This window comes from Homo sapiens, chromosome 20, assembly GCF_000001405.40.
Source record: "Homo sapiens chromosome 20, GRCh38.p14 Primary Assembly".
NCBI lineage: Eukaryota > Metazoa > Chordata > Mammalia > Primates > Hominidae > Homo > Homo sapiens.
In genome coordinates, this window is record NC_000020.11 from 37,528,642 (window position 1) to 37,539,758 (window position 11,117).

An 11,117-nucleotide genomic window follows, 5' to 3' on the forward strand; every position below is an offset into this window, starting at 1 on the left:
ATTAGTGACTTTAATCAATACATAATTACACATCATGGGAAGTGCTGTGAGAAGAAGTAGAGAGTGTTAGGAGAAATTAATGGAGTACTAATGTAGGGAAAGGGTGGAACCTCCTTGGGAAGATGGCATTTAGGTTGAGAAACAAAGGACGATTAGGGTAAGAGTGAGAGGGGAAATGTTCTAGGCAGAAAGAACATTTGTCCCAGATCTGGAGCTGGGAAGCGGCAGAGTTGGGGTGAGGTGAGCACAGAAGAAAACAGGTCAGCTACATACTGAATTTGGCTTTTCTCTTGAGAGTCAGGGAAGCCATTTTCATCAGGAAGAGGATAGCAAATTAGGATTTCTGAAAGGCCACCCAGGCCGCATGGCTTGGAAAGCACTCAGGAGTGGGTGTAGGCAGACCAGTTAGGAGGTGGTTGCAGCTTTCCAGACAAAAGCCAATGCTGACTCAGACAGGGTGGTAGCTTGGGGAGGTGAAGGGAAGGGTGGAAGATTGGACTTGGGTGGATGTGGAGGCATTGGCAATAACTCCTCGCTAGGTTTTAGCCTTGAGTAAATGAAAGGGTAAAAGATTCCTTGACCAAGACAATAAAGCCTGAAAGAGGAACGGACTGAGGGGGAAGATCAAGTTCGGCTTTGAGAAGTTAAGTTTGAAATGTCGGGGCAACATGCAGGCAGAGAGGGTGAGTAGGCAGGTTTATGTGACACAGAAGCTGCGAACGGAGGCTGGGGCAGGAGATACATATTTGGGGGCCATCAATACAAAGGTCATGGTGCTGGGTGAGAACGCAAGTGAAAGAAGGTGGAGAGAAAAGAAGAGGAGGATCCGGGAAAGGAGACTAAGAAGCAGTGGCCAGTGGGGTAGAAAGAGGACCAAGTGAGTGTGGGTCCTAGAGAGGAGGTTTCAGGAAGGAGGGAGTGCTCAGTGGGGCTGATGCTGTTGAGAACAGAAATGGAGCCGTTGGGGTTTGGGAATAAAGAAGGTTGGTGGACTGTATCTTTTATGTTGCAAGTTAAACACACAACTACATCAAGTGGCTTAAAAAAATAAGTAGCCTGCCACTCAGTGGCTAGGCAGTGTCATCAAGGACTGAGGTTCATTTTATCTTCTGTCCTTGTGCTGGTTTATGCTCATGGCCACAAGATGGCTATCCAGTTCCTGAGGTCACATCCAAAGCAAGGAGATGTCCATTTCTCCTCCAGCTGAGACTCAAAACAGGCCTGAATGTGGCCTCCCACCATCCTGCTGCTTACAGGCTAAAGGATCAATGCATCCATGGCAGCCACACCCAGTATCCAACACTGAATGACAAGAGGAGTCTTGTAGTGGAAGCTCTTGTTTAGAAAAAGAGAGAGCTGGCTTTGCAGATGCCGCTGGGATCCCCATACTATCAGCCATGGTCAGCCCCACCTTGTTCTTTGACATCACTGTCGATGACGCGCCCTTAGGCCCCTACTCCTTCGAGCTGTTTGCAGACAAGATTCCAAAGACAGCAGAAAACTTTCGTGCTGTGAGCACTGGAGAGAAAGGATTTGGTTAAAAGGTTTCCTGCTTTCACAGAATTATTCCAGGATTTATATGTCAGGGTGGTGACTTCACATGCCATAATGGCACTGGTGGCAAGTCCATCTGTGGGGAGAAATCTGATGATGAGAACTTCATCCTAAAGCATACAGGTCCTGGCATCTTGTCCGTGGTAAATGCTGGACCCAACACAAACGGTTCCCAGTTTGTCATCTGCACTGCCAAGACTGAGTGGTTGGATGGCAAGCATGTAGTCTTTGGCAAGGTGAAAGAAGAAAGAAGGCATGAAGATCGTGGAGGCCATGGAGCGCTTTGGGTCCAGGAATGGCAAGACCAGCAAGAAGATCACCATTGCTGACTGTAGACAACTCCAATAAGTTTGACTTGTGTTTTATCTTCACCACCAGACCATTCCTTCTGTAGCTCAGGAGAGCACCCTTCCACCCCATTTGCTCCCAGTATCCTAGAATCTTTGTGCTCTCGCTGCAGTTCCCTTTGGGTTTCATGTTTTCCTTGTTCCCTTCCATGCCCAGGTGGATTGCAGAGTTTATGATTATGAAATAAAAACTAACAAAAAAAGAAAAAGAGAGCTGAATGTTGAGAGGCTGTGGAGCAACAAATTCTTGCAGTGCTGACGGCAGAGCAAATTGGTACAGCCACTTTGGAAAACCAGCATCTACAAAATCTAAACATACACCTATGCTGTGATCTAGAATTTCCACTCCTAGGTATGTACCCGAGAGAAATGAGTGCCTATGTTTACATGGAGACTTGTGCAAGAATGTTCATAGCAGACTTATTCATAGCTCAAATTGGAAATAGTTCAATGTCCATCACTGGAGAATGGATAAATTGTGGCATGTTCATGCAATGGAATACTGTGTTTTACATATAAAAGAACAAACTACTGTTACATGTAATAGCACCAGTTAATCTCACATATAGTATGTGGACTAAAAGAAGCCAGATACAAAACAGTACATACCATATGAATCCATTCATATAAAGCTCAACTAATCTATAGGGTTAGAAATCAAAATGGTAGTTACCTGGGTCAGGTCAGGAGTAGGGATGGGAAAGGAGCAAGAGGAGCTTTTCTGGGATGCTGGAAGGATTATATCTTCTTCTGGCTGGTGATTATGTAAGTGAAAATTCATCAAGTAAAAATTCACCATAAGACTAGGGGACTTCGGGAGGCAGAGGCTGCAGTGAGCCAAGATCGTGCCACTGCTCTCCAGTCTGGGCGACAGAATGAGACCCTGTTTCGGGGGAAAAAGAAAGAAAGAAAGAAAAAAGACTGGGGGCTTTATATACTTTACGTATGTTATACCTCAAGAAAAATAGAAGAAAGGGGCTGGGTGTGGTGGCTCACGCCTGTAATCCCAACACTTTGGGAGGCCAAGGCAGGTGGATCATGAGATCGGGAATTTGAGACCAGCCTGGCCAACATGGTGAAACCCTGTCTCTACTAAAAATATAAAAATTAGCTGGGTGTGGTGGCACGCGCCTGTAATCCCAGCTACCCGGGAGGCTGAGGCAGGAGAATCACTTGAACCTGGGAGGTGGAGGTTGCAGTGAGCCAAGATGGCACCACTGCACTCCAGCCTGGGCGACAGAGCGAGATTCCATCTCAAAAACAGAAACAAGAAAAATGGAAGAAAGGAAGGGGTCCTGCCATCCCATGGAATGTGACATGCTGCTAAACAAGGATCAGGTCTGTTTTGCGGGATACCACCTTCCAGTAACTTCAGGCTGAGTGTTAGCATGTACAAGGCCTCAGTGGCCAGCCCTTTCTCCCTGGGGCCCAGAAAACTGGGGAAGCTGAGGCAGGGCTTCTAATGCACATGGAACTCGCTCCTGCTCAGCTGGACCCTTTCCCCTCTGTCCTCAAGATTGCTCCACCTTCCCAGCTCAGTTCCAGGCTGTGGAAACACCATCAACACCGGCTTTGACTTGAGAGACCTGGAAGGTCATTCTGCCCTAAAATTTTGCTGAGCCAAACTCAACTTCCTACCAAGGCTTCCCCAACTTGCTCCCACCCACCAGACACCTGGAGTCACCCATGACTCCTGCTCCCTCTTGCTCCATACTCCTCAACTCTTGCCCATTGCTCCTGAATTTCCTTTAGGCCTTTTCTGTCCCCACTGCCAAAGTTTGGTCCAGGCCACCATCCCTTCTCCCCTGAACCCTGCAGCAACCTCCTCACTGGTCTCTCTGCTGCCTGTCTCACCCAGAACCTTCATCTTCCACCCAGGATGATTTTTTCTTTTTTTTTTTTGAGACGGAGTCTTACTTTGTAGCCCAGGCTGGAGTGCAGTGGTGCGATCTCAGCTCACTGTGACCTCTGCCTCCCAGGTTCAAACGATCCTCCCACCTCAGCTTCCCCAAGTAGCTGGGAGTTCAGGTGCACACCACCAAGCCCAGCTAATTTTTGTATTTTTAGTAGAGGTGGGTTTCACCATGTTGGACGGGCTGGTCTCAAACTCCTGACCTCAGGTGATCAGCCTGCCTGGCCTCCCAAAGTGCTGGGATTACAGGAATGAGCCACCATGCCTGGCCCAGGATGATCTTTGTAAAATGACCTTGTCACTCTTCTTGAGGTGGTGTCCCCTGTCCCCTGTCCTCATCTGTCAAGATCTTCCCCAGTCTTTAAAGGCCCAGATCAAATGCCACCTCCTCCATGAAGCCTTTGCATTCATTCATCAAATATTTTTTGGTTACCTAAAATGTGCCAGGCACTGTGCTAGGCATGGAAGATAGAAAAGAGAATAAGAGCTGGGCACAGTGGCTCGTGCTTGTAATCCCAACACTTTGGGAGGCCGAGGCAGGTGAATCACTTGAGCTCAGGAGTTTGAGACCAGCCTGGGTGACATGGTGAAACCTTGTCTCTACAAAAAATAAAAATAAAAAAATTAGCTGGGCGTGGTGGTGCGCATCTGTGGTCCTAGCTACTTGGGAGGCTGAAGTGGGAGGATTGCTTGAGTCCGGGAAGTTGAGGCTGCAAGTGAGTCATGATCATGGCACTGCACTCTGGGTGCAGTGCCTGGTGACAATGCCTGGGTGACAGAGGGAGACCCTATCTCAAAAAAAAAAAAAAGAATATATATATGTTTTCTAAAAAGACACTACAGACAGTCTGGAGAGATGGGCAATTATGCAATGCCAATGCATGTGCATTTTCTGTCTGTTAACCCCCATGAGACCGTGAGCTCTTGGAGGGCAGGGTTCATTTTGGGTCTGGTAGGAAGGAAGAGGCAGTAACTGTTGAATGAATAAGTGAATGATTGAAAGGCTAGACCGAGCTCCTCCCTTTGTCATGTATCCTCCAAGTCTCTGATTCAGCTGGTAACCAGGTCTATGGAATTCAGTTGGGACTGGATGGCAAATTTGGGGCTAAATGATAAAGAATCAGGAAATGGTTATGTTATGAATAGAACAATGTTTTGTGAAATCACAATACTTACTTTCCTATACATCAGTCTGCTTGACAATTACTTTAAAAAAAATCAACATTATCTCCTTACCAATACTTATATATTCAGGAAATTCTACCTGTAATGGAACAATAGTTAAATGTTAAAGCACTAAAGAAGCTATGTGATATCAAAAGATTTTAAAAGGGATAAAAAACATTATTACCAAGGTGACCAGAGAATGGAGTAAGCTCCAGGATGGCGCAGACTGCAGCCAGAATGCAAGGGTTCATTTCCATTCTACATTTACTGGCTGTATGTCATTGAGCAAGTTAATAAACCTCTCTGTCCCTCAGTTTCTCCATCTGTGAAATGGGGACACATTTGACTCTACCTCATGTGATCATTTGTGGGAATTCAATGAGTTTGTGTTATAAAATGCTTAGAATAACACTGGTTGGCCGGGTGCAGTGGCTCACACCTGTAATCCCAGCACTTTGGGAGGCCAGAGCAGGTGGATTACCTAAGGTCAGGAGTTCGAGACCAGCCTGGCCAATATGGTGAAACCCCGTCTCTACTAAAAATACAAAAATTAGCTGGGTGTGGTGATGCACGCCTGTAATCCCAGCTACTAGGGAGGCTGAGGCAGGAGAATCACTTGAATCCAGGAGGCAGAGGTTGCAGTGAGCAGAGATCACGCCATTGCATTCCAGCCTGGGCAACAAGAACAAAACTCCATCTCAAAAAATAAAAGACTAGCACGGGTTACATAGTTAGTACCCTTAATTACCTATTGTTACAAATATGTAAAATTATCCTGGGGACTGGAGGCACTGTGGGAGCCCTGGCAGGGAGGGCCTCTCCCCACCATGGCTTTTAAGGTGTCAGGACAACTGGGTTTAAATCCCTGACCTACTTTCCTGACCTTGGGAAATGTTCCCAACTCTAAGGCCCTTTTGTTCCACACTTCTCAGGGCTTTCTCAGATGGGAAGCAAGTATGCTATTTTAGCCAGGTCTGTGGTGACACCTAATGGTAAAATGGGGAACTGCCTGATCTTACTAAACTTCCATCAACCTATTAATAGTACAAGCAATAACTATATATCACGCTCTTACCATGTGCCAGAAACTGAAAGCTGTGTGAACTGTCTTAGTTCACAGCTTAGGCTGACTGATTTAACCAATCAGCAAGTCCTGACAGCCCTGCCTCCAAAATAAGTCACAACCTAGCCCATCTTCTTATATCACCACTGCCTCCATGCTTGACCAAGCCACCACCACCCAGACACCAGCCTCCACCTCCCCATCACCTCTTCCCACTTCTTCTCTTGCTCTCCAGTCCATCTAAATCCTAAAGAAATGGGAGGGTCAGTGGGAGGTTTTAAAGAGGAAAGTGATCTGATCTGACTTGCTTTTTTTTTGAGACTGAGTCTCGCTCTCGTTGCCCAGGCTGGAGTGCAATGGTGCAATCTCGGCTCACTGCAACCTCCACCTCCCGGGTTCAAGCGATTCTACTGCCTCAACCTCATGAATAGCTGGGATTATAGGTGCCTGCCACCATGCCCAGCTAATTTTTTGTATTTTTTTAGTAGAGACGGGGTTTCCCCATGTTGGCCAGAATTCAGGCTGGTCTCAAACTCCTGACCTCAGGTGATCCACCCACCTCGGCCTCCCAAAGTGCTGGGATTACAGACGTGAGCCACCGTTCCTGGCCACGACTTCCATTTTTAAAAGATCACTGTAGCTGATGTAAATGGATTGGAGAGCGAGAGAGGAAGTGGGGAGGTGGTGGGGAGGTGGAGGCAGGTCTGGGTGGTGGTAGCCTGGTTAAGCATGAAGGCAGTGGTGATACAGGAAAGTAGGCTAGTTTGTGACTTTCTTTGGAGGCAGGGCTGTCAGGACTTGCTGATGGGTTAAATTGTTCAGTAGGTAGTTAGTCAGACATGGTCAGGGCAGGAGAGCTCTTCCCCCTGCCTCCCCACCCACCAGGATTCTCAGGCGACCATCAGGTGATGGTCAGGTGGTTGTTAAAACTGTCTCTCTAAAATAATAATTGGTTGCAGCTGGCGTCAGAAAAGGTGGTAGACTGAAACACCTGAAACTGGTGATCAGCAGCTTCCTGATAAGATCACAGGAGTTGGGTGAGTGGGCTCAAGAATGCGCACTATGAGGCAAAATGGTGGGGTTTAAGTGGTATGTGGCCTTCTAGGAACACTCGAATGGTAAGGGAAGAATGCCTCAAGTGAGCATGTGTACAACTGCAGTAAACACACTGCGCATGCGGCCCGTCCCAAGTGTGGGCAGGCCCCTGTGCATGCAGACAGCCCACCCCAAGGGAAGAATCAGGGGAGAAGTAACGCAACTCCAGAAGCATGCCAACGTATAAGACCCCAAGTCAAAGGTCAAACCACACACTTGACTCTCTCAAGTCGCCAGCTTGGCCCCCTTCCAAGTGTACTTTACTTCCTTTCATTCCTGCTCTAAAGCTTTTTAATAACCTGAAACCACCTTTGCAAAATTATGACTGAGACAGTGAAAGAGATCCAATTTAACAGACTCTTGCTTCGAACCTCCAAGCTGTCCTTGTTCATTCCTGGGTGTAGGCCGAACGAACTTTGGGAGAAACTTAGTTTATGGTTTATAGTTTAAACAAAGACGGTACCAGCCCTTTCCCAAAGCAGACTTCCTTCTTGCCTGGAGACTAGATTGCCTTTGTAGGACTAATATTAGCCACAAGATTAGAAATTATGGTTTAGGAGTCATGCAGCTGGAGGCTCAAGATTCTGAACTCTTGAGATCAATGCTTGAGATATTTTGCAGACCCTGCACTTGATGGATCAGCTGGCCCCACTCAAATCAATAAACTGGCTCATCTGATCTTGTGGCCCCCACCCAGGAACTGACTGAACCCAAGAAGACAGCTCCGACTCCCTATGATTTCATCTCTGACCAATCAGCACTCTTGGCTCACTGGCTTCCCCCACCTATCAAGCTATCCTTAAAAACTGCTCCCCAAATGCTCGGGGAGACTGATTTGAGTAATAATAAAACTCCGGTCTCCCGCACAGCTGGCTCCGTGTGAATTACTTTCTCAATTTCAATTCCTGTGTCTTGATATCGGTTCTGTATAGGCAGCAGGCAAGGTGAACCCCTTGGGCAGTTACAAAACTTTCACTCCTGCTCTGGAAACTTGCCTTGGTTTCTCACTTATGCCACCTGGATTGAGTTCTGTCTTCTGAGGAGGCAAGAACTGAAGTTGCTGCAGACCCATATGGATTCACCACCAGTAACAAAACCAATCCATTGCTCCTCTCCTTGGCCTGTAAGACCCTGTGTGATATGACCATGACCCAAGTTGCTCCCTTCTCATTCTCAGAGGTTCAGTCACACTGACCTGCTCTTTTGGTCTCTGCAACAGACATGATGGCTTACGTCTGTGCTCACTCAGATTCCTTTATCTTTGATGGGTTAAGGAGAGGACTCAAGGATCAATCTTGGAATTTTGGCTTGAAAAATAGATGGATTTACTGAAATGAGTAAAACCTAGGGAAGAGCAGATTTAGGCAGACTATCTTGAGTTCAGTTGCCCAGAGGATGGAGAATCCTTTTTGTTCTGTTTGTCTCAGATTATCCCAGGAGATTGCCCCTGACACAGGAATGGGAGGCGGTAATAGGTGTCAGTGTTGCTCAAAGAGACCCCTGGGCTTCTGCTGCCCTGGCCATTGTATGGGATAGTGCCAATGACTCTTTCTGAAGAGTCAACAAAAGAATAACAGAAATCAGAGTGCTTTTCAATACTTATTGCTCAAGAGGATACTTTTGATTATTTCTTGGAGAAGCCAGATGGGCCCACAGATGCATTAGAATAGGAACTTCTTTCTGGCAAATGAGTCCATTGAGGTGGAAATTTATTTGAAAGACTCAGGTTAATGTGATTCCCACAAAAGTGTGTAGGAAATGTGGCCCCAAATTCCTACCTAAAATATTAAGTGTACCCATTTTATTCCTTTGGTGGAAAACAGATAATTTAAGTACAAAGGAAATGTATCAGCAGGACCTTGGGGCTCATGGAATTGAGAGGCAATTGAAGAAGCAAACTTGGAAAGCTCAGGAACCCAGCAGGCTCTCTTCCTGCTGCAGGGCCTTTGCACATGCTGTTCCCTCTGCTGGAGGATCTTGCCTGCCCTTCACCTGGCTGACTCCAGCTCACTTTTAAGGTCTTAGCTTTAATGTTGCTTCCTTAAAATCCCTACCTGGTTCTCCTGATGAAGCTGGTATCCCTGGCAGATGCTGTCCGGGTACCAGGTCCTTTTCTTTTGTAGCCCTTAATATCATTGTGACTTAATAATTATTCATTTGATTAACATTAACATCTGTCTTCCCAAGTAGACTGTAAGCTCCATGAGGGCAGGGGCTGTTTGTCTTGGTTCCTGTTGTACTTCCAGAACCTAGCACAGAGAATGGTAGATGAAATTATGCTGCAGGGACAAACAACTCCAAAACCTCAGTGGCCGATGACGACAGATGTTTCTTTCTCGTTCATGCTACATGTGCATTGCAGCTCAGCGGTATCTGCTCCATGCTGTTTTACTCTGGGACCCAGTCTGATGGAGCAGCCTCAGATCTGGCAAGGGCTGGGTATGACTCACTGGTGTGTGGCAAGCCTCTATCAATGGACAAGGCAGAGGCTGGTGCAGCTTGAAGGTGGTTGAGCAGAATTGTGCTGAGGTCCTGGCAGGGAAGAGGGAGTTAGTCCTAGAATAGCTGAGCGTAAAAGACACAGACTTTCCCCTGAGGATCTTTGTCATCCACCACACATGCCTCTTCCAATAAAGCTGAGTTTTAGAGAGGTTAAGTGATTTGCTCAAGGTAATACAGCTGCAAGTAGCATAGACGTTAATATGGTTTGGTCTGTGTCCCTACCCAAATGTCACGTCAAATTGTAATTCTCAGCGTTCGGGGGGTACCTGGTGGGAGGTGATTGGATCATGTGGGCGGATTTCCCCTTTGCTTTTCTTGTGATAGTGAGTGAGTTCTCACGAGATCTGATGGTTTAAAAGGGTGTGGCACTTTCGCACTCTTTCTCTCTTTCTTGCTACCATGTAAAGAAAGTCCTTGCTTCCTCTTCACCTTCCGCCATTACTGTAACTTTCCTGAGGCCTCCCAGTCAGGCTTCCTGTTAAGCCTGTGGAACTGTGAGTCAATTAAACCTGTTTGCTTCATAAATTACCCAGTCTCAGGTAGTTCTTTATAGCAGTGTGAAAACGGACTAATACAGACATTAAGAACATAGGCTTTGGAATCAGAAAGACCTGGGTTCAAATCCTGCCTCTTTGTGACAATGAAACATCAGCATAATGATAGTAATACATTATTACACACTGAATAAAATAAGAATCCATGAGTCTATGCTGTTAATAAAGAAATAAATGGGAGCAAAGGAGAGCTCTTCCTTACAAGTTGAATGCCAAACAGCTTATTAATTACAAAGGAAAAAAAATGACAATATAGTGGAGAAACCTGACAGGCTGCACCTTAACTGAGTGATCAAAGTTAACATCACCAGTAACAGGACAAACCACACTTCTCTGGTATTCCTGCCAAAAGTACATAATCTAGTCATGAGAAAACAATTAGACGAACTGAAGTTTGGGGACAGTCTACAAAATAACTGGCCTGTCTCTTTAAAAAATGCCTTTATCTAAGATAGAAAAAGAAAGGAGCTGTTCCAGTTTAAAGGAGACAGAAGATATATAATAACTAAATGAAACATGTAATTCTGAACTGAATACTGCACTGGAAAAGATTCGCTACAAAGGACATTATTGGGAAAGCTGGCAAAACTTGAACGTGGACGATAAACTAAATAATAGTATATTATTTATTGTTAAATTTCCTGATTTTAATAATTATACTACGGTTACAAAAGACTAGATCCTTGTTCATCTGAAATCTTTAGAAAAATAGAGGCATGATGTCTGCAACTTACTTTCAAATGATTGAGATTGATCTATCTATCTATCTATCTATCTATCTACCTATCTATCTATCTATCTACCAATCAATCATGGATGAAAAGAGTCACACTGTAAAATATTTGAAGAAACTTATTCTGAACCAAATATGAGTAATCATGGCCCGTGACACAGCCCTCAGGAGGTGCTGGGAACATGTGACC

The 11,117-nt window shown here is 45.7% G+C and overlaps 1 pseudogene; it reads left to right on the forward strand.

Moving 5' to 3' along the window:
• Positions 1,362–2,103, forward strand: PPIAP3 (peptidylprolyl isomerase A pseudogene 3; annotated as a pseudogene).
• The last annotated feature ends 9,014 nt before the right edge of the window (positions 2,104–11,117 follow it).